Genomic DNA, 24531 nt, shown 5'->3' with positions numbered 1-24531 from the left:
CAGAGCAGGCTGCTTTGTGGCTGGAAAAACAGGAGCATTCCTAATTGTTGTTTTGACTCCAGTTGTTTTAGCTTTTTACTTGGCTGTATCTCTTATGTAGTGTATCTTCCCTATTCATTATCTTCCTCTTTTCCTTCCGTATTGATTTATCCTTTCTCTAAGCTTTCTGAAAAACCTTGTCATATTTGTCCTTCCCATCATCTTAACATATGTTTCTTTTGTTCTTATTTCTTCCTATGGCTTCCTTCTTTGACCTTTAAAGATTCTTCTTTTTGAAAGCCTTTATTAGATTTTACAATAAAACTTTTAGAGCCACTCCATTTTCTTAAATTTGAGAATGATGTCTTTTTTACCTATCTGATTTGTTTGCTTCCTAGATCCCATTTTTACATTTTTATCTGCCCTCACATTTGGGGGCATATATCCAGATTTGGTATTTGAACAGATTGTGTGTGGGAATTTCCCTTGGCGGGTGTATTTTTCACTTCGGTGACAGCCAATTCCTATTCTTTGGTTGGTTGGAGTCTCAACCAACATGCACAGAGTTGCTCCGAATCCTCATTTCTTACTGGTGCCCATCTACCTCATTTTGGGAATGGAATTGAGATAGTTTCCCACCTCCTGTTGTTAGACTTCATGATTCTAACTGTAAAAGAAAAAAAAATACTAAAGTCTGGTCAAGCTGATTTCAGTTAATATTTTGAAAATAAAACCTTCACTTCTTGCTAAAAAGACAAACATGTTGGTAGGAAAGAACAATTGGGAAAGATATAATGAAGGAAAAATAATTTCTTAATTGATGCTAATTCAGGTAATGATGAAAAAGCAGAAACAATACAAAACTTGAGTCCTCTAATAGAATAAAGAAAAAAATGAAATAACAAAGCGAGGTTTAACTCACAGAATACAGAATCTTTGGTTGAAGGGAATTGACCTGTATTTAGTATTTGTATGTTGTATGTATGTGTATGTATGTCTGTATATATATGAATGTGTACATGTATATATGTGCATGTATATATTATATATATGTGTTTATGTGTGTATATGTATAACATATGATATGCATATTATTTTGGTCTGCTTCTCTAGAGGCTTCCTAATTAACAGAGCTTGTAGATCTTTGTCTTCTGACTTCTCAGCCCTCTGCTGACCCCATGGAAATCTGATCCTGGCCCTGGTCAGGTGAGGGGTGAGTAGGATGAGTGGGATGCACTGCAGGGGCTGTCCTTGATGTCACAAAAATCATGGTGGTTCTTGAGAGATCAAAGATTAAATAAAAATTGTATTTTAAATGAAGAAGTTTCTTCTGTTTTTGTGTTTGCATCACTATAGACATTACTCTTCAAGTTGTCTTTCTCCTGAGATCCAGGTAGACTTTCACTCTCTGAACCAGCTTGTAGTTGAGAAGGTAAGAAAAATGCTGCCCAGCAGATCCAAGGAGACCTTTTCTCTTCCACAAACAGCTGCAGACACAGCAGAACTCGGGTAAAGGGGGGCAGGAAGTTACTGTAGTGCAATGGCTTTACTTTTTTTTTTTTCAGTATACTAAGGAATTTTCTCCACTGAGAAATTATTGTGGACATTTTCCCCTAATCTACCAAGGACTTTGATTTGCTATGGAAAGTATTATTACAGCAAAAGAAATAGGAAGTCAACATTTCACTTCTGAGATTTGGAGTAAGATTTGAGTCACTAGCCAGGCAGACTTTGATGAATTTGTAAAAGCCAAATCTAGATGATTAAGTCAGCTTTGCTATAAATCAGAGCTAGAGGGAGATTAGAACATGATTTAAGAGGCAACCTTGTTCCATCTGGACCTGGGTGACTGTGGGGAAAAAAATTAGAAAGCATTGGGTGAGACTTGTATATCCCGATGTCTCTTAGCTGAGTGAAAATTCTGGAGAATGCAGGAATGTGAAATAAATTGGTCTCTAGATAGGTGAGCTAAAGGTTACACTCCTGACTCCCCAGTGCCTACATCTGGCTGCAGGCCATCCAAAAATTCCAATGTGGAGGACTGGAGTCAAAGAGCAGGGTGTGAGAAATCTAGGATCGAGGAAACTGGTCAGGATCAGGGGTTTCAGTGGAGCGTGACAGCGCATCCCTGCAAAGCCCAAATCAGTTCAGTTATATTTACTACAGCAGATGCCAGCCTGGAACAGACCAGACCAGACGAGGCTTGAATCTGGGGTTCCTTTTATTCCATAAGGTCATGTAAGATTTTTGTGTGTTTAAACATCAAACTACATAAAACTGGGAAGAAGGGGCAGAAAATAGTATCACACCAAGGTGAGTCATTTGAAAGGGGTGATTTGAAATGGCAAGCTATAATTATCCCCTTCCCAGTGAGAAGGGGTTCCTGAGAAATATTCAATAAGAAACAAAGAATTTACAGTTTCTTAACTGAATCAGGTTGTGTTAAATTCTTGAATCTGCTACAGTTGTAAAGCATCTGCAATTTCAAATAGCAAAACTTTTACTCCCTTGTCTGTGAAAATTAATTGGCAAAGGTTTTCTTTTACCGTGGTCTCACATTTATATAGTCATCAGGCCAGATCTACAGTCTCTCCCTAAATTTGGGGAAAAATATTTTTTCTAAGTTTCTGCCCACACATCTTTCTAATTCTTCCACTACTTCATTCCTGCCTTCTACAATCACTTGGGGGTATGGAGTGAACTGAATATATTTTATTTTGATTCACATTATCACTAAAGAGGCTCTTTTCATTGTCAGAAAGCCACACACAAAAAGCCAAAATTAAAAATGTATTCTTAAATGTTGAGCATGTAGAATGATACGTGCTAGAACAGGCTCCAATGACTTAGATTTCAGCCACTTCACAAAACAGTCTGCTATGGTCTGAATGTTTGTGTTCCCCCAAACTCACGTGTTGAAACCCTATTCTTGGTGTGATGGTAGTGAGAGGTGTGGCCTTTGGGAGGTAAGTAGGTCATGAGGGCAGAGCTCTCATGAATGGGATTAGTGCCCTTATAAAAGAGACCTAGGCCTGGTGCAGTGGCTCATGCCTGTTAACCAAGCACTCTGGGAGGCCAAAGAAGGAGGATTGCTTGAGCCCAGTAGTTCGAGATCAGTCTGGACAATGTAGTGTAGGACCCTGTTGCTATAAAGAAATAAAAAAACTTAGCCAGGCATGGCAGCATCCACCTGTAGCCCCAGCTACTTGGGAGGCTGAAGTGGGAGGATCGCTTGAGGCCAAGAGGTCAAGGCTGCAGTGAGCTATGATGGTGCCACTGCACTCCAGCCTGGGTGACAGAGTGAGGCTCTGTCTCAATTTTTTTTTTTTTTTTTTAAAAAGGATCACAAAACAAAAAGGCCCAAAGGAGCTTGTTTGCCCATCTACCATGTGAGGACACAGCATGAAACCACCACCTAAGAGGAGTGGGCTCCCATCAGACACCAAATCTGGTGGCATCTTGCTCTTAGGCCTCTCAGCCACGAGAACTGTGAGAAAAAAAATATATGTATATATACACACACACACATATACATACATGTACATATATGTGTGTGTGTTTATATATATATACAATTTGTTGTTTATAGGCCACCCCGTTTATGGTATTTTATTATAGCAGTCCAAATGGACTAAGAGTCCAACAACAAAGTGAGGTCACCAGGGCAAGGCATACTTAGGCACTGGGCTCCTTTCTGCTGTGGTCATTCACACGCGACATTAAGATAGTTTGAATTTGGAGGCTAACAATATTCTCCCCGGTGAGATTAATGCTTAGCCGGAAACTGGAGGAACGGTATGAGTTGAGAGAGTAGCAAATAAACAAAAGATTAAAGAACAAAAAGATGAATGGGAAAAGTCAGTAGTCAAATGGTGATAAAAATCAACAAGGATTGAGTCCAGAGTGATGACTCAAACAAGAGCGTTATTCAGTGAACTAGCTAGTTATAATCTGAAGACAGAAAAAGGCCAAAGAAGCGAGAAAGAGGGGAGTGAAGATCTGAACTAGCAGAGGAAGCGAAGTTAAATTTATAAAAATGATTTTCAAAGTCTCATCCTCATGGAATATTCTTGACAACCCTCTCTCCATGCTGCCCACACTTCTGGCTGGGTGTACCGACTGCATTTTCCTGATAACTTAAGCTGCTGGCTGGTGAGACAATCAAATTCTCCCCACTGAGTGACTTCATCTACAAGACACAGGAGTAACCACCAGCGAGAGAAGTTCAGTTGTGAAAGGGAAGCAAAGGAAGATGCTGGGTCCTTAGCGAGGGTGCACAGCCCCTTCCTCCATTGTTAGCTCTCCATTCCGTTTTGCCTGATGCAAGGCACACTTTGTTCCATATATTTAGATTCCATAGTTTTCTGATAATGGGGACTGAGTATTTTAAATACACTTCAGGGGTGGGCGGGGTGGCTCATGCGTGTAATCCCGGCACTTTGGGAGGCCAAGGTGGGCGATTACCTGAGGTCAGGAGTTCGAGACCAGCTTGGCCAACATGGTGAAACTCTGTCTCTACTAAAAATACAAAAATTGGCTGGATGTGGTGGCTCACACCTGTAGTCCCACCTCCTCGGGAGGCTGAGGCAGGAGAATTGCTTGAACCCAGGAGGCGGAGGCTGCAGTGAGCCGAGATCGTGCCACTGCACTCCAGCCAGGGTGACAGAGTGAGACACTGTCTCAATAAATACATATTTAAAAATTAATAAAAATAAAAATGAACACACTTTTTAGGTGACTTCTGCATATTTAAGTTTCAAACTACTTTTAGAGCAAGCCCAGGAGAGTTTCCTGTTCTTTTGAACATGAAGAAAGAACCAAGGGCTACAGAAAGCCTCCTTACAGAACCCGAGTCTCATTAGCTTGTTCTCATTCAACAAACGCTTATCCATCCCTCGTTGCATGCAAGGCGCTCTGCCCAGCCAAGTATGTGACTGCAGGCTGACGGGTGGTGATCGGGAAAGCTGCCCGAATGAGTAAGATTCTGACGCTTGTTTGGAGTAGTTTATCCTCTGTCTACCACCTCCAGATCACCACATCTCCATGACTGGACCCAAATGAAGTTATTTCATATTTCCAAAAATAGTTTCAGTTATTAACACCTTCAGGAGAATTCAGGGGCTCATGGTAGAAATGAATGAATCATGTACATAACTGAGAAGTATTTATACAGAAAGAGTTTTGGTTTTCTGGAAAGGGTAATTTCAGATATTTAGAAGTAAGAGCCATTACAATGTTGGTTTTACAAGCCACTGGGCTTTATAGCAACATCAGAGTCCTGGTGGGTCAGGAGAAAAGGAGACAGCACTCGTCAGTAGCAGACAAGAGCAACTTAGCATTCCATATAATCTTGGAGAGAGCTGGTCTAAGTGCCTCAGGTAAGTGTTTTAACAACTGGATCCTCTCTGGACTCCACACACCCGCTTCTTGAGCAGTGACGTAAGATGGGGGAGAAGACAGAATGAGCTGGCTGTCTCACTCCCTCTCTAGCTCCTGTCCCAGCTTGAGATGAAACTCTATGGAAGAGTAAAGAAGGTAGGAGCTTACTGGAATCTCTTCTACTTTTCTCAACCCAGCACCAACTATTATAAAGAATGGGATAAAAATGTCATAAGGAAAGTTGTTGAGAGAAATTTACTCTTTTACCCTTGAGACCTAATGGGAATTCAAGCACTATATATTTTATTTTATTTTTGTTAATGGTCAAAGCCCTTGGCTGCATATTGTAAATACCTATCATGGATCAAAGCAATCTTAGTGAAAAATATTTCTTTCAGCTTTGCTAGTTGTTAAAGCTCCATGAAATGTTCATTTTCAATGCTATCTTCTCTATGAACAAAAGATTGTCTGCTCCTAAGCAATATCTAAAGTAATATCTATAGGGTTTCATTTCTTATTGTATGTAAGGATGAATTATAGAAACTCCATCATAAAAAGTTTTGTATTGCTCTGTTGTCTGATTTTAAGTACTTGAGCTATAAAATTATCTTATTTATATAATTCCCACTATTTTTTTCTATTCAGGGATTGATTACACATTTCAGTTCCCAATGATAATCTCTCTTGCTGCTTTCATTAAGCATTCCTACAAATTGAAGGGGAGATGGAATTAGCAAGGTAGAAAATGAGAGAATTAAAAAGCAAATCTCCTGTGTTTCTTTTCAATTAATATTATGCCAAGAAAGAAGTAAAGGTTTTGAGACCAGATTACAAGGTTGCGGTGCACTAGGATGCACAGAGCAGTGGACAGGATACCCTGCAAAGTTCAAACACTGCCTTCTGAAGGCAGGTGACATCCTGGGGAAACACACTGAGTGGAATCGAAGGCCCTGGGCTCAGCTTGGATGCCTTGGAAAAGTCACCTGACCTCCAAGTCTGTGGCTGCCCATCTCTAAAACTGCTTGCCTTTCACACCTTAGAGGGTTGCTATGAGGATCAAAATATGAACACATTTTGAACATCGTCAGGCACTGTGAAATAAAAGATACTATCAGTGTGATTATGAGCAATGGTTTCACAGGAGCACTACACTGCCTAGAGAGCTAAAACATGCTCCTTTGCAAATATTTTCCTGCTGTGCTTTAGAATATCATTGGCCTCTGCCACCTTCCCCAATGGTGTTGCATTTTCTATGTTTAGAGATGGTGTTTCCTGTTCTTAGACTGTGACCCACAATACCCCTGACAGGCCCAATCACACCCGAGCGTGTGTTCTATCAAACTAGCAATTGTCCCCATCAGAGAGTTTGCCTGTGAAAAACTGCTTCCCCTGGTAAAGTGGCAGCTTTCCATGGAGGAAATCTGCCTGTGCTTTCACCAACACAGACAACAATGGAGAAGGGAACAAAAAACACTTTGCTATTTCACTAGCTCATGTAAAGGTCATTTCTCAACCTGTTTCTTGTGCAGTGGAAGGTGTTGATTATATAGCTCCAGTAATGTTGCCTTCTTGAATTCATTCTTGTTCTCAGGGGCTGTGCTATCTTCCACCTAGACCAAGTTTCATTACATTTAGTGCAGCAGAGCATGCAGATGATGTAGTTAGCATTGCAGGCAAAATAACCCATTCCTATACCTATTGTCAGCTTTCGGCATATTTAATATAAATGCAATATAAAAATACTTATAGTTGATTAGGATTGGAATAAATAAAAAAGACTTAGTTTCTGATTTTGCATTTGGCTGACTTTATGGATTTTTCTCTGGGGCTCTTTTTAAAACATGAATTTTCCTTAGCACAAAGAGTAAGAAAACATAATTTCTTTTAGAGAATATTTCTAATTTCTTTAGTATTTTTGAGTTATTGCAGGGTTCATTTTAAACCAGTCTTACTAGTAGCTAAAGGAATGCTATCTATTCCCTCAGGATCCTGGGCTGTTATTTTTGATTTTGGTGCTGATTATTTGTTAATATTTTAAATTAACATAAATGTGACTGAATTTAACTTTAGAGATATGAAGTATTTTGCTGTTAATGCAAACACATGACAAAGAAAATCTAATTTACAATTTAAATTTCAGAGTTGAACAAAAGCATACTGGATTCAGTTTCCACAGATAGAGGTTTATATTCAGGGTTGCGTGAATAATGACTTACGTGACCTTGACTGACCTTGACTGTGCCCTGATATCTACTCTCTGTCCTTCCTTGTCTTGTCTATCTGGTGCTTTGCCCTGGGAAGCTGACTTCTACAAGCCTCTCTGAGACAGGCACCAAAGCGATGGGCATTTTGGGGAGAGGATATAGTAGCTGTCTCTAAAACTTGGTCATTAATGTCCTTCTAGTTCTAGATCAAAGGAAAAACATGTCCAGGCTGAAACAGTAGGCTTACACTTAATGAGGATGTCCCCCACACTAATGAGGAGTTGCTAGGCTGTTCGAAAGCACTCATTTGGAGATAAGAATAATAACTTACTGGGATAATACCCTCTCTTATAAATATGAACTAAAAGTTCAAAGGTGTAAATGCGAATAGTATTAGCATCCTTTTCCTCCCTGAAGAATGTATTAAGAATATCAAAGCTCTTCAAACAGTGATCAAAAGTGACACATAGACCCAAACATATGATTTCATTTTATAATATGGAATTAAGATTTCCATTGAAAAGAGGTTGGAAATAACACCACGTCTTTTTTGAGGGAGGTTTCGGTTTCCCACGAGTTATCATAATATTCCAAATCCATACAAACTCTGGAAGTGACACTTTGCAGTCTAAATTTTCTCTTATTAATTAAGGCTTTTCGTTAAAGACAGAGCAAACAGGTTTTATATGGTATATTCACAGTTTGCCTTACGGAGAATAAACTTTCAATGATCCTTTAGCTTCATTCTATTTAAAAAGACAGCACTGTTTAAATTATTTATTTTTTTAGGTTGTCTTTTGTAACTGGAAGAAAAATAATTCTTCAGTAAGTTTCTATAATTTTTATTCTCATTAATGTATGAAATATTATACTTTTAAGTAAATTCATAATAGTGCTTCTACTGCATTTTAAAAATTCCTTCCAAGGGAGACAGCTTATGAAAGAACTAATATAATTAGCATTTTCTGATGGATGACTAGTGTCAAGACACAGAGAGGAAAATGCTTATTGCAGTTAAAGAATGCACCTGAATGTGTACTGCAAACAATAGCACAATGTGATTGAAGAAAATAAATTAAACTTATAATTTTGTTTTTGACAACCAAAACATGATTGTTCCTATTTTTATAATTTATATTGTCATAAGCATATTTTTATGGAAATTTTGATGTTTATTTTTTGTTAAAGATCTATAGCCAGTTGCCTTGGAATCTCTGCTGAGTACTTCATCAAGCACCTGCTGTTTGAAGAGGGAATAAGCCAGAATAAAATTCTCGCTCTTCAGGTAAATAGTTAGCTTAGGCTATGCATGTCTTCAAATAATTAAGCATATATTTCTTGGGGCCTATTATGTGCCAGGAACACATATGTTAGTAGGAGAAAAGAACTTTCAGAGAAGGACATTAGGTATATATTCTATAACATTTTATCGCAGGGAGCTCCTGACAATAATACAAAAGGGAACCTTTCATCTAACATTTGTATATAATCATGGGTATGTGAGGATAGCTACTTCTTTTTTATGAACTGAAGAAGGCAAGACTTGGAATTTTTATGTAAGCTTTATGTTAGTGAACACAAACAACATTAATAATAAAAATGATAAAGTCAAGATTTAACCTACAAATATCCTTTTTGGGTGGGCTGTATATAAGGCATTTTAGTAGGAAAGTAAAAAATTCCCTCCGTTCTGGTTGTATTTAGTCTTCTATGTAGGAATCCATATATTTCATCTCTTTAGATTTTAAAGTAGCTACATTTGATGAAAATGATCACTTTTGAACTGCCTTACAGAGAATTTTTTCGTTTTATTTTGATAAAAATAAAACTTGTCTATCTGGCACTGTGCCCTGGGAAGCTGACTTACTAAAAGAAATAAGTATTTTAAGGGGACAAAATTATACAATCACTATGCTAAGCATATTGCAAAACCAAAATAAAATAACCGAACTTTTGTGACTATTTGATTAGATAAAAGGATTGAGTCAGCATTATATCCATGTAAATCGTGGCAAAAAATTTGATGAAGACTTTCAACTATATGAATTCATATCTGAGTAGCCCTTTAGGAAATTGGTCGACTTTGAAGCTTTGTGCCAATAACAACTTAAACTTAAATGATCTGCATTTTGGATTAAGATTCTATTCATCACCTGAGCAATTTTTTGAAAATTTCTTCATTGTCTTAAGCATATTTAAATATGGAATTAGCATATAGGATCAAAAGGGGAATGCAAACATAAATGAAAACATACATTCCCTGATGGTGATCACTTGCTATAATTTTATTGCCTAGCAAATTTTCCTTTTAGACATTGGGAGGTAAAGGTAATGAGTTGAAAGTTGGCCTAAACATCAACGCAAGTCTTGTGTTGGTTAGATCATGGTTTCATGCTTTAAAAAAAAAATTTTTTTTTTGAGTCAGTCTCCCTCTGTTGCCCAGGCTGGAGTGCAGTGGCACAATCTGGGCTCACTGCAACCTCTGCCTCCCAGGTTCAAGCGATTCTCATGCCTCAGCCTCCTGAGTGGCTGGGACTACAAGGGTGTGCCACCACACCTGGCTAATTTTTGTATTTTTAGTAGAGATGGGTTTCACCATGTAGCCCAGGGTGGTCTCGAACTCTTGACCTCAGGTGATCTGCCTGCCTTGGCTTCCCAAAGTGCATGATTCGGTGATTTCAATGCCTGTTGTGTTGGTGAGAATTAATGGTAATATAAGTGAATCCTCAACCACATGGGGCCTGGGACTTTCAGGTACTGATTATGAAACTGCCTTTGCAAAATTGAGTCAGAAAAATCTAACATAGCTGACACCATATTTGCTTCTAACCTCATAAGATAACTGTCCTTGCTCATGCCTGAGAATAGGCCAAAATAACTATGGGAGCAATTTAGTTTATAGTTTAACTTTAAAGCAAGGATGATAACAGTCCCTTCCCCAAACTGACCCCTTCTTTGTTTGAGGACTAAAAGTACCTTTTCAAAATGAATGAAAGGCCCAAGGTTAGAATTATGGTAGGGGCCTGAAATCTGCTAAGATGCAGGCATAGTTAAGTGATAACCAGCCATTGTTCCTTAGTTTGCCTTTCTATAATTGCTTACTGCTCAGGAGTCATGTAGCCAAAGGTCACAAGATCTGTAACTTCCCCAGTTGCTCCAACAGATAATATCACTATTGTAAAACCTAAGTCTTTGATGTATTTTTCAGACTTTGCATTAGGACAGACCAACTGATTCCACTTGACCTGTGACTCATACCAAGGAACTTGCTCAACCAGTCCTGTTGACCCCTCACCCAGAAACTGACTCAGTGCATGAAGACAGTTTCAATACTCCTATGATTTTTATCCCCAACCAATCAGCAGCACCTATTCCCTAGCCCCCTGCCCTCCAAATTTTCTTTAAAAACCCTAGCTTCGGAACTCTTGGAGAGGCAGGTTTGAGAAACATCTCCTGTCCTTCCATTTGGCTGATTTGCAATAATTAAACTTTCTCTGTTGCAACACCACTGTCTCAGTGTATTGGCATTTCTGTGCCAAGAGCAAGAACCCATTGGGCTATAATAATTACATTTTTTTCCAACAATTTCAGCTCTATTCTTCTTCTAAGATCATAGACTTATTGAGATCTAGAATATATTAAACTGTGATATTATACTACCAAATTCTTAGCTTTTATTTAGATTTAGAGCAGAGATTCCAGTTTTCCTTTTGTTAGAATCTAGTATACTCATATATTAATTTGCATGGTCATCTTGATTCTCTTTTCCAGTATTTATCCAGGTCAATGGTTTTGTGGGTTCCATTAAAAAAACTAGGGGCAAATAGAGATCCAACATATTGGGATGAAGTAGGTGCTCACAGTGAATGTTGTTAGGCTTATTTTAGTAGTAGAATTCATGACTAGTATGAAACATGAAGCAAGTTGTCCTCTATTCATGAGAGGTAAAGCTATGAACATAATAGAAAGTGATTACTCACTCTTTGAGAATGGCATAATATCCTTTCTTTTTTAAGCTAAATAGGGGCCTCATAATGGTAGAGAAACAATTTCTCTGTTTTATTAACTTGTTATTTCCAATCCCTGCCTCATAATTCCTTTCATGATAAAATGTGCCCTATTTTTATTTTCAACTCACATAAGAGTTTACTGTTTTCTGAATCAAGAATTAAATTTCTCAATGTTACTTCTTGTTGCATGGAAACTGTATGTTTCCCTCATCTTTCAGTCAACTGCTGTGTGCTCTCACCCCAACTCTCAGCTTCTTTTGGGGGGTTGGGGACTTAGGATCCGAGTTTAATAGGCAACAGAAAGAGAAAGGAGAATAGCTCTCTCTCCTGTGAGAGAGGGAGGTTCCTGAATGGGTCTTCCCAACTCTCCCCTTCTACCCATTCAAAATTACTTTGGTTGCTTAGGGAATTTCAAATGCAAGAATAGGCGAATCCACCCCTTAATTGTCTCTAAGACTCAATGTGGATTCCACAGATTCTCTGTTGCTGTCCTCATCAGCTGTTGGATATGGAATCCTGCCACAGAAGATTAAACAAGGCAACTTTCTAACTTATATTAAAAGGGCATTAACCCAATTTAAGAGTTAAGCTCCTTAAAGGAACATACTTAGAAAACACATTACTCTATTAATATTTTTTTATTTTCTATATTCCGATTCTTTGACATCTAAGGCCTCGATGCCACTGGAAGGACTGCCCCTACCATGGTTAGTCAAGTCCTAGAGATAGTAAATAACTTCCCTGAAGGGGCTTTTCAAATGCAAACCAACCAATATACAGCCCACACTCACAACCACCTCCTTCATCAGACTCTTTAACTCTAAGATACTATCTCTCTGCCCTGATCACCCCAGGGCCAAGGATCAGATCAGGAGGCACAGCTTCTATGCTCCAGAGCATGCTGAAATTTTCAAACTAAGGAATCCTAACCTGCTTACTTTGGCTTGCCAGTTACACAATGAAGGCTCTTAGCCAGTTTCCCTCTCTCTCTGCCTGTGACTAAACCCAGTACTTCTCTTTGTGGCCCCCTGGAGCCATGGCATGCTCCCTCCTCTTGGGAACAGAGTCACAAACTATATTTTCAAAGAAAATGATGTCCTTATCTATTGACCTCATCATGCTTAAATAATAATAAAACCCATTAAAACAATCACCCATGCGCTCTAAGCAACTTTTTGTTTATAAGCACTTATTAAGTACCATATGAAATATATTTCCTCATATATTCTATCATTTTCATATTTTTAAGTTTTTCAAAGCTTGTGTTTTACCCACTGAGAAATATAAATAGGCTTAATGAATACTTTTACACATTAATGTTTATATTACAAAAACTTTTGTCATAAAAATAACATGTATAGATATTAAAACCCAGAAATATATCTACATTGGGTTTTAGGAGTTTATGGAATAAAACGAGTCAATCTCTCCACCTGTGCTGCAGGAAGGGTGTGACAGAATTATTCTTTAGACCAGAATTCACAAGTTTATATAAAGCAATCGACTAAAATATGTTTAAAATTCTCAACTGGTGAGTGGGTAAAGGAATTATAGTATATTCATATGACAATAAAAAAGAATAAACTCCTATATGTGAAATACCATGGAAGAATCTAAAAAGCATTACACTGGGTGAAAGTAGCCAGACATGCATTTAAATGACATTCTAGTACAAAGCAAGACTATAGGGATAGAAATGAAGTCAGTGTTACTCAGGTGCTGGGTGGAGTCGATGGCTTTGATCACTTGGGTACCCATTTGGAAATCAGAAATAATTAAGAAATTACTCCTAGGAAAAGGAGCAGAATTTGAAACACCACTTTAGGGCGCAAGAACAATTTTTTTAAAAAGCCAGTTCCTGGTTATAGGTAACCAGAAGACTTTTTTTTTTTTTTTTTTTTTGTCAATTCTGCAGAGAATCTGTTATCCAAAACAACTATGAGCAACTGCAGACACAGTCTGAGAATTTTCTTTAAATGGCAATAAGGGTTCTGAAACAAAGGGACATTTTGAGGCAGATTAGCACAGGAAAAGCAGTGTGTACACGGTATAGAATTAAGAGAACCTGTACAAATGAAGACACAAGACAAAATAAAACCCGAGCTATTTCAGGGGTTAAGGTTTTCATCATTTCCAAAGTGAAGAGGAAATTGAAACACTCGTATTAGAACATCATTGCAACATATTTATAGTTTGCCACTTTTAATTATGCTTAAAATAATTGCATATTAAATTGCCTCATAGTTCGCATTGCATGGTGACATTTTCAACTAAATATTTCCTGTTGACCCCTCAAAGTATGGCTTTACAGAATAACATGGATTAAATGAGCCTCAAATTACAAATTCCCTCAATAAATCCAGTAGGTAGAAAAGAATACTGTCTCACTGTGGCCCTGCTTTATCTGGGAGGGTTTGATGCTGCTCTCTGACCTCCATAGGAGATATGTATCAGTATCTTAGCCTGCTTAGCACGATTGGAGAAAATATCAATGACTTGATTTGAATAGATCTGGGACGCAGCTGCTAAAATGATGTTGCTAAAGCATTCCTTTTTCTTTTGATTAGACTTCATGTTTACAAAAAAATTAATTCTAGCAGAATAACGAATGGTTTTGTTTTCTAGTTCTCTGCTGAATGAACAGTTTTGCCAATTATCTTCATAGAGTAGTGATATAATGAATGCAACCTCAAATGCAAACCAACCAATTCACAGTCCATACCCCAATCACTTCCTTCATCAGCCTCAAAAATCGCTAAGTGAACCAGTAGAATGGTTTTGGAGCAGTAATAGGAAAGCAAATAGAAAGTCAAGGGGGACTTTCAACGCCAACAAGACCAATTCAGATCCTGATCTGACTGGTTTCTAATACAATCTCTTTCCAGAGTAATGGAGCATGAGTCTGCCACACAGAACTTTAGAGAGAGTCCTTTATTTCAAAGACTGTAAAGTTGGAAGAATTCATTCATCTGCAAAGTCAAATGTCAAAAGTTGTGCTTCCCACTCCTCATCAGGCCTGTGGTTAACAATGCACTCGACTGACAGCTCTGTCATGCAACAGGGTGCGTGAGATCGCGAGAGCTGATTGATGCCTCTGCCTCTACAGTCTGAAAAGTTGCCAGACCATATGCTACTTAGTTTAGCCTGTGTGCATCCTGCCCTGGGACCTGATTTCTACTTTATCTTTAAAAATATAAAACCTTGGTGCCCTTTAAGTTCTGCTACTGTCTTAAAGTTTTAAAGAAGACATCAATGGGTCCAATTAATAATAAATGTGGCTTCCATTTATGGTGTGCTTACATTTTGCCAGGACGTCATCATCACTTAATTCTAAATTAAGTGTCATCTCACTTAATTCTAAAAACAACTGCGTGGCCTGGGCAAAATTAATCTCCAGTTTTTAGATTAGGAAACTAATCCCCAAAGGAGAGAAGTATCTTGCAGAATCTAGACCGATTTGTCTTGTAGATTTTATATTCTTGTTCAAAGCACTTCCTTACATGGCCTTAATGGGAGACATGTATAACGTAATAGTGCCACATTTAGTCATATATAAAGGATTTTTCATTCTAGAGCTTTTCCCTAGGTAATGAGTGTCTCATATTGTATTTATTACAAAAAAACACATTAAATAAATATACAAAGTAATTTTCTACGGTATGATTTGATTTCTGCATATACATATTGTTCATACCAAGTCTTTCTTGATTCGTGTATTATTGGAGTAATTCTGAGTCAATGAAAGTATAATCCAACTTACCTAAATTTATATAAATACACTCATCACATTTTGCACTGCATAGATGAAAAATACTTTTATGAAAATATTGCTAAATATTTAATGATCAAGGTGAATTGCCTTGCAAAATTTCCTTCTAAATTCTTTTTATACCAATTGGTATATTGGTATTTAAAACAATCTCTTTGCAACGTTTATTAGTTTTTTTCTTCTGAGGCAGATATATTGCTAAAAAATATTTATTTTTATGGCTTACTCATTTATAAAAGAACATTAACAGAGCATAATTTCTGTTCTAAGTTTATTTTACTTATTCCACATAAACTATTTTTGAGCATATTGGTGCATGAGCCAATAAAAAGGATGAAATTATCAAGAGAATTTACTAAACATCAAGTTACTGATATTTAGAAACAATCTAAGTATAGAAACACCGACAGAAAGAATCAGGAGGCCCAGGACAAAGCAGGAGAGGTCTAGTCTGTCCAGGCAGCTCCCAGGGCCCCGCTTCTGCCTTCGGGTGTGCATTGTCTGGCTCAGACTACACCAGGTCTGCACTAGTGCCCCCAGCAAGGAGTGTGTGAGTTAGGAAATCTATTTAATATCCCAACTGTAGTTTGTTATTCTCCAGAAAGCTCTGCCTCCTAAATCCAGAAGCTGTACGTCTGTTTACCATAGGTAATCCTAAACTAGAAGCAATGCTGCTAAGAGCAGTCTGTATATAGGGAGTCTCTTTTTGGTAAAGATCAGTAGTCTATTTACCAGGAGTTTTCTCACCAGCACGTTTACAAGGAGATGAGACTGCATCACCTCCTGTCCCGCTGGAGGTCCCTTTAGTGGTACTCGAGACAGAAATGATCATAGATTAGGTGTGTACCTTCCTCCACCATAGTGGGACACATCCTTGAATCTATAATTTATTTTCACCACTTTGCTGGGAGTACTGATGAGCTTAGAGCCAAGACTGGGAGCTTAATCCTATGTGATTCAGTAGCATCACGTTTCATGGTGATATACCACAACACCAATGCAGATCTACCATCCTGGGAGTTTCACGGGTTCCACTTGAAAAGGAGGAGGTGTAAAAAAGGTATGATATAGTTCTAGAAATCCAGCACCCCTTTGAGTAAGATAATTAAACAGATATAAGAGTAAGAAGGTACAGATGCAAGTTTTGTGAGGCTGAAAACTTATACAATTTTAGAGGCCGTTTTACTTAAATATAAAGAACAGAAAAATAATTGTCATGTGCAAAATGACAAAAAATATATGATCACATGTGAACAGGGTGCAAGGTCACCTTTAACAGAGGGGTCCTGAAGCCATAGCTCATTAGTATCTCAGCAAATTCTGCCTGTACATAAGTATATTTGTGTTAAGAGAGTTGCATTCAGTTGTTAGGAACCTCTGGAATACACATAAATAAAAGAGATTTGGTATGCAGGAAGCTTATTCCACAATCCATGCTACCTCCCACAGTATTAGTTCTTTAATGCTATTTTGGTATAATGATGACAGAAATAAACATATCTGACTTTTTAGCTACCTGCATACTTCTAAATCTTTTCTTCCCCAATTCAGCAAAAATCTTCATGAATTTGAGATCTCGTTGAATAATTGTCACAAGTTCTACCTTTCATTTCTTTGTGCTTTTCCCACAACTGGATTAATCATGATTTTAAAACGATAAATAATAGCTTTCTCATTCAACTGGCTAGGGATAGATTGTGATCTGGGCGTCCTGAATATCTCTGAAATAATAGAAACTCAGTGATCATTTGTGAGAGAGTAACGGATACCCTTTAGATAATCTGGCATGCAAAAAATCTCCGAGTTTCTAAATTGTAGCTGTAATTTCAAGGTCAGTCTCGTGTATCTTGAAAGCAATATTTTCAAGCATCTTTTCCACCTATGTAATCAAATCAGGAAAGATATAATTTTATATTTAGCACTTCATTTACTGGGGATTTTGGAGACGTGAGCTTCCAATGCACATTTTTGTTGTTGTTGAAACAGAGTCTCACTCTGTCGCCCAGGCTGGAATGCAGTAGCGTGATCTCGGCTCACTGCAACCTCAGCCTCCCGGCTTCAAGAGATTCTCCTGCCGCAGCCTCCTGAGTAGCTGGGACTACAGGTGCACACCCCCACTCCTGGCTAACTTATGTATTTTTAGTAGAGATGGGGGGTTTCGCCATGTTGGCCAGGCTGGTCTCAAATTCCTGGCCTCAAGTGATCTGCCTGCCTCAGCCTCCCAAAGTGCTGGGATTACAGGCATGAGCCACCTTGCCAGGTCCCAATGTACATTTATAGAAAGATAATTGGCATGCCCAGAGAGTTTGGTGGATTATATACATTTATACACTATCTGTCTAGGTGTTCTTTCACCTGAAAATTAGTATTTTCCTATTTTATTCTGAGTTGTAAATTGCACCCTTCAAAATAAACACAATAATATCCATTGCCTCTTTCATAAAAGTGTTCCTTCACAGAATTGATTTTCTACACAAATGTGATTCGGAAAAGGTTAAATTTTTTTTTTTTTTTTTTTTTTTTTTTTTTTTTTTTTTTTTTTTTTGAGACGGAGTCTCGCTCTGTCGCCCAGGCTGGAGTGCAGTGGCGGGATCTCGGCTCACTGCAAGCTCTGCCTCCCGGATTCACGCCATTCTCCTGCCTCAGCCTCCCAAGTAGCTGGGACTACAGGCGCCCGCCACTACGCCCGGCTAATTTTTTGTATTTTTAGTAGAGACGGGGTTTCACCGTTTTAGCCGGGATGGTCTCGATCTCCTGACCTCGTGATCCGCCCGCCTCGGCCTCCCAAAGTGCTGGGATTACAGGCGTGAGCCACCGCGCCCGGCCGAAAAGGTTCATTTTTTATGCCAGTATAGAGAATGATTAATCATCAATTGTCTGGTTATTTTGAGTTTTTTAGGGTGACTATAAGGAAAAAGACAAGTACCTAAAACTAACAGAAAACAAGTATGGGGCCTGCCACGAATGGTTTCGCCTACAGAATTCACAAAGTATTAAAAGTCAGGAAAGATTTTTTCTTCTGATACAAAGTGGTATTGTTTATTTTCCTAACTGACTTGACATCAGCCCTACAAAGTAGGATAAAATTAACTATTTGGCACTTTTCATGTATTATACAATTAAATAATTGAAACACATCAGGCAATAGATGAGCAAATAAATATGTGATGCCCTGAGGAGTATTTGGACAAACAAATGTCAAAGGAAAATGGATTGTTCAGAATTTCAAGGAGCAAATATATTTTCATATTAAAGAATAGAGTAGCATTATTTTTTCATGTATACTAATTGTAATCCAAGTAGATGCTGATTTTCCAAAGAAATGATTCAGAGAATATACCAACTAATTGCTTTGTTTTTAATCAACATGAAAAGTAAAATTTAGTAAAAGTTCTACAAGTAACATAATTTTTAACAACGGTATGAAAATTGCAGTGGTTTTTAATCACAGCTTCATTAAGGATGATTTTATTTGAATATGTTACCTCGTTCGTCATTAAAAGATTCCACTATCATCGGGATTGTATTTCCAAAGGTAATGAATTCCATAGGTGCTAATTGCCTACTAATTTTACTTGTAAATGAAAATATTTATTTGGAAATAGGTCTGAGGGAAAGCATATCATGGACTCAGGATCTCTGTGCATTTGTTTTCTTTGCTCCTCTAATGATATGAATTGGAGGTGTCTTATAAAGCCGGTGTTCCAGGTGCCATATATGGAAAACAAATTTGAAAGCTTTTTCTCACCTCTATTTGAAGGGTTGATTAACTCTAAAATATTTCTCTGGAACTGTAGACCTAGCCTGAAGAGTAACAGCAGACAAACCAAAGCTAGAGGGCAGATCTAAGATCAGCAGCAAATGTTGAGCCTTATGCTCCCATCACCTCTAGTGTCTCTGTATCTTCTATTAAGACACAGCCTTGCTTGGGTCAGGTGAAAGTAGAACTTGTTTTGAATAAACCAAGCTACCTATTTCATCTAAGTCAACTCTTCATGGTAAAATAAGCAAACAAAAAATACCCAATTTTATTTGTAGTTTAATCGGTTTTTGTTCTCATGGCAGAATATCTTATGATGGACTACATTATCTTTTAAGACAATTATGAATCCATGATCTACTTAGAAATATTAACAAAAGAAATCTAGTGTCTGGAAGTTCTACACTTAACACTAATTTTGCTCTACATTAGCACTAATTTTGCTTTTTGTAATCTAATATCTCCTCGGGTCAAAAGATAATATGTTTTCCCATCTATTAGTAATTGCTGTTGGAACCTCTACCACACAAATTAAGTTCTTTGACCTCCAAACACAAAACCTGAGACGTATTAGCAAAGCTATGTTATCATGAGAAGAACATGTGTTTTTGCAGCACTGTGAGGTTTGGATTGGTTTTACTATGTGTGTGCAAATTGATTTTGATTCTTGAGTTGTATTCCTTTCATTTGTGAGAAGCATGAGAATACCTATTTTGTAGGACTTTTGTGCTATAATGTATGTGAAAATTAGAAAAATGTTTAGAATATATTCAGTGTCCAAAAAGTCAGTTTTTTCCCCTTTAAGTTTTGTTAAACCTCTTCTGATCTGCTTCATTTACAGTAATGAAAATTATTAAAAATAGTAAGTTTATAATTTTCTTTTTTCTGAGACAGGGTCTCACTCTGTTGACCAGGCTAGAGTGCAGTGGCATGAACATGGCTCAGTGCAGTTTCAAACTCCCGGGTTCAGGTGATTCTCTCACCTCAGCCTCCCCAGTAGCTGGGACTAAAGGTGCACACCACCACACCCAGCCAATTTTTTGTATTTTTAGTAGAGAAGCAGTCTCACTATGTTGCCAAGTCTGCTCTTGAACTCCTAGAGCTCAAGCGATCTGGCAGCCTTGGCCTCTGAAAGTGCTGGGAATGTAGGCTTGAGCAGTGGTGCCTAGCCAGTAAGTTTATAATTTTTTAAAAAATCAAGTGGCCAAGAAGTTATAATCAGATGGTGAAAAATCTAAGCAAGTAAAGATATTAGAAGAAATAAAAGACCAAAAAATAGTTTTGAAAGAACAGATTTTATCACAATTTGAATTTTATTTATAACAAGAAAAATATCTTTTTTCTTTACCCTTTTGCTAATGCTAAATAACCCAGATAATTTTAAATTCTTTAATTTTAGTAAAACATAAGACATTGTGAGTTAATTACCATGATCAAGTACATATAATATGATATGTGTATGTAAAAGATAAAGATAATAATGAATTTATAATCTTTGTCTAGAATTTATTTAACACCAAGAAAAAAATCTTGTAAATACAAGGGCAACTATAATTTTGACCCTCCTCCTAGACTTTTGTTGTGAGAGTTTTAACATTTTCCCAACAAAAGTAGATGACTTGAATCCACATCTATCAACATATTTTTTTAAAAAATATTGCAATAAAAAATGGGAAAAAAATTAACATTTGTGTCAAGGATAAGTTAATCTATTTGACTAAGAATGAAACATATTTTCATTTATAAGGAATTTTGACAAGACTTTGGCTATTTAATTTAAAAATAATAGTTTCAGGACTCCATTCCTAGCACTCATTAGATTTCAAGCCTCACAAGTTGTGAGGCTAATGCATGTGGTTATTACCACCATTAAAGTAAGTGACACCAGAGTCATACGATGGATGTTCTTGAAGGGCACATGAACTTGCTTTGAAAAGTCCCCTTAAAGAAGATTTCACGAAATGTTCTAAATAAGGACAAAGCAGTGATATTGGCATCGCTCTCCCACAGAGAGAGCCCCACTGTGAGTTCACACTCGGTTCACTGTTTGCAATCACTCTCCTGCAGCTCAAGCTACAAAATCATGCTCTGGTGTTTTAGCATTTTTCGTGAAAGAATGTTGATTTCTTCAAAGGAAAGGCTCGTTTTTGATTCCCTATATTGCCCTGTCCAGTGCTGTGCAGGTAAAAATAGGTGTTTGCCGAATTTAATCATCTCTTATACCTGTGTTACAGCTTTCAAAGCCCTTGTTTCAAAGCACTTTTTTTTTTTTTTTTTTTTTTGAGACGGATTTTTGCCCTGTCACCCAGGCTAGAGTGCAATGGCGTGATCTCGGCTCACTGCAACATCTGCCTTCTGGGTTCAAATGATTCTTCTGCCTCAGCCTCCCGAGTAGGTGGGACACTGGCGTCCGCCACCATGCCCAGCTGTTTTTTGTATTTTTAGTAAAGACAGCATTTCACCATGTTGGTCAGGCTGGTCTCGAACTCCTGACATCATGATCCCCCTGCCTCGGCCTCCCAAAGAGCTGGGATTACGGGCGTGAGCCACCACACCCGGCCTCAAAGCACATTATTTCATTTGATCCTCATATCAGCACTGAAGGTGGACATAGCAGAGTATATTTTTATCAGGTTCTCACAGATGAGGAAATCAAGCCTTGGAAAGGTTAACAGAATATAACTGAAGGCACAGGGAAAGTGCTGGCTCATGCAGAAGCGGAGTCGGAGCGGTCTGATTCATTCTCCCATGTCATTTCAAACCACGATTGCTCAGACAATATTGCCCTAGGCACATTGCGTATTATAAATTATTAACCTAAAGGATTATTATTAAAATATCCTCCACAGAGTCACCAGATAGACATATCTAAAATTTAAATCTGTTTACTTGCTACATTAAAAAACAACTCCTTGCTGCCTGTAAGATAAAGTCCAATTTATTTTTTGACATGACATAGAAAACACTCCTGGTTTTGAGCTTTATCTGACTTTTAACAAACTCTCTGCCCACTTTATTCTTACTCTAATCTCCAGCAGCTAAAATCCGCTAAGAAGGAACCATCCGTGCTCTGCCTGTGCTGTGCGTCGTGGAGAGTAACCTGACCCCTCTATCCTCATGCCAACCTCACACTCTACCTTAAAGAAGTCCAACTCATATTTTATGATTCGCCGTGCAAATCATCTTCTTCAGGAAGCTTTTCCTGAGTCCCTACAATTAAACTTGGTGCCCGTTTGCCTAGATAGGACTGTTCTCCAAATGTCTCATGCTCCCCTTCATTTCCTGCACCCAGCACAATCTGGAAACCTTATCACTAGTTCCCAAGAAAGGGCTATGAACAGAAGGGACACCTGCTGAAGCCAAAGCATCTATTTTTTGATGTGAGTGTTGTCCTAATTGCCTAGGATAGTTGCCCAGAATCAGAGTGGACTAGCATGAGTGAGAGATCAGTTCCAGTTGCATAAACCACGGAGACTTTGTTCATCACTTAAGGATAAGTGATGATCCTAATACTTGATCCTAATAGTGGTACAGTGATAAATGAATAAATAGCCCTAAGATACAGGGCACTGAAATAGTGGCTGGGCCAGGGATGAAGGAAACTAGTAAGCAAGCTGGGAGAATGATATTTAGCAGTGAGATATTCGGTAAAGCTCTTGCCTCTTAGTAGAACTTGTGATAACTTGGTAGGCCGATTTCATGTCTTAAGAGTTTCTATAAGAACTTTAAAGTAGTTTTTTCCAATTCTGTGAAGAAAGTCATTGGTAGCTTGATGGGGATGGCATTGAATCTATAAATTACCTTGGGCAGTGTGGCCATTTTCAAGATATTGATTCTTCCTACCCATGAGCATGGAATGTTCTTCCATTTCTTTGTATCCTCTTTTATTTCATTGAGCAGTGGTTTGTAGTTGTCCTTGAAGAGGTCCTTCACGTCCCTTGTAAGTTGGATTCCTAGGTATTTTATTCTGTTTGAAGCAATTGTGAATGGGAGTTCACTCATGCCATCCCATTACTGGGTATATACCCAAAGGACTATAAATCATGCTGCTATAAAGACACATGCACACGTATGTTTATTGCAGCACTATTCACAATAGCAAAGACTTGGAACCAATCCAAATGTCCAACAATGATAGACTGGATTAAGAAAATGTGGCACATATACACCATGGAATACTATGCAGCCATAAAAAATGATGAGTTCATGTCCTTTGTAGGGACATGGATGAAATTGGAAATCATCATTCTCAGTAAAGTATCACAAGGACAAAAAAACCAAACACCGCATGTTCTCACTCATAGGTGGGAATTGAACAATGAGAACACATGGACACAGGAAGGGGAACATCACACTCTGGGGACTGTTGTGGGGTGGGGGGAGGGGGGAGGGGGGGAGGGATAGCATTAGGAGATATACCTAATGCTAAATGATGAGTTAATGGGTGCAGCATAGCAGCATGGCACATGTATACATATGTAACTAACCTGCACATTGTGCACATGTACCCTAAAACTTAAAGTATAATAATAATAAAATTAAAAAAAAAAAGAGTTTCTTGATTGTATGGACAAATGTGAAATTTAAAAATAAGAGGCTCTATTCTCCCTGTTGAAAATGGGCAATTGTCCTTCCTGTTTTTTAGGGCATATAACTTTAGAAAACTTTCGGTTGTAAGCACTTCCTCCTCTCTTTGAAATGTAAATAATTCTTCTGAAAACCAGATAGGTCTTTTGTCAGCTTTAAGACCCTAAAATGCCTTTCTCAAGGACTCATGAACCGTGCCTTTGACATGTAAATCTGAAGGGAGATGCACCCCCATCTCCTAGTTTCTGTAACAGAGAGGGTGCCTAACTTCAGGTGCTACTTCTCTCCAACTTGCAAAACTGTCTCTTGTCATAAAGATACAAGAAGTTTGTTTTTCCTCTGCATAAAGCCAATTAGCCAACACAAATGGTTACCCCAGTTACAAGGATGAGGCATGTGTGACAAACAGTGCTGTCAAGTTCTCTCGCTTGAGACCAGTAATTGTTTACCTTGAGAACCTGCATGTATTGAGTTGTACCTGGATGGCTATATCAAAGGGTGGTATTCTCCCTCTGTCTGCAGTTTCTTAGCAGAAATAATGGAGTGTTTTTTTTTTTTTTAATCACATTTATGGAGAAGATTTCTGCATTGGGAGATTTTGTTTTTAATTTTATTCCTCCAACAACATCTAGGGAAAGCGGTTAGATAACAAAACGTTAACAGTGTTTGTTGACTGATATGGTACTAAAAAGAAAGAGGCTCTTAGAAAGAAATTGAGAATTTTCAAGCAAAAATGAAAGGCATTTGAAAAATTCAAAACCTTGTAAAATTGGAAAAGAGAACTCTGAGACAGACACTTAATGTTTTTAAGTGACAAAACCAAGCTAAAGCAGTCTCAAGGAA

The 24531-nt window shown here is 38.0% G+C and overlaps 1 protein-coding gene across 3 annotated transcripts in view, besides 2 other annotated features; it reads right to left on the bottom strand.

Annotated features, from left to right (window-relative positions):
* The window catches only part of DOK6 (docking protein 6), a 448200-nt gene that overhangs the window by 118921 nt on the left and 304748 nt on the right, over positions 1–24531 (bottom strand). The gene's annotated exons all lie outside the window — the stretch shown is intronic.
* Positions 3800–3969: an enhancer, noted in NCBI's record as "experimental_49392 CRE fragment used in MPRA reporter constructs". NCBI's record gives its function as "activates a minimal promoter by MPRAs in K562 erythroleukemia cells, with activity observed for the introgressed 18:67393519 variant allele {active_cell/tissue: K562}" and the evidence as "EXISTENCE:reporter gene assay evidence [ECO:0000049][PMID:34662402]".
* Positions 23530–24333: an enhancer, noted in NCBI's record as "OCT4-NANOG hESC enhancer chr18:67373070-67373873 (GRCh37/hg19 assembly coordinates)". NCBI's record gives its function as "activates a minimal SCP1, AML or CMV promoter by ChIP-STARR-seq in naive and primed H9 embryonic stem cells {active_cell/tissue: H9 hESC(naive and primed)}" and the evidence as "EXISTENCE:reporter gene assay evidence [ECO:0000049][PMID:30033119]".

This window comes from Homo sapiens, chromosome 18 (genome assembly GCF_000001405.40).
Source record: "Homo sapiens chromosome 18, GRCh38.p14 Primary Assembly".
Classification (NCBI taxonomy): Eukaryota; Metazoa; Chordata; class Mammalia; order Primates; family Hominidae; genus Homo; species Homo sapiens.
The sequence above is the reverse complement of the archived record's forward strand: the minus strand, read 5'-3'. Positions and strand labels throughout refer to the sequence as shown.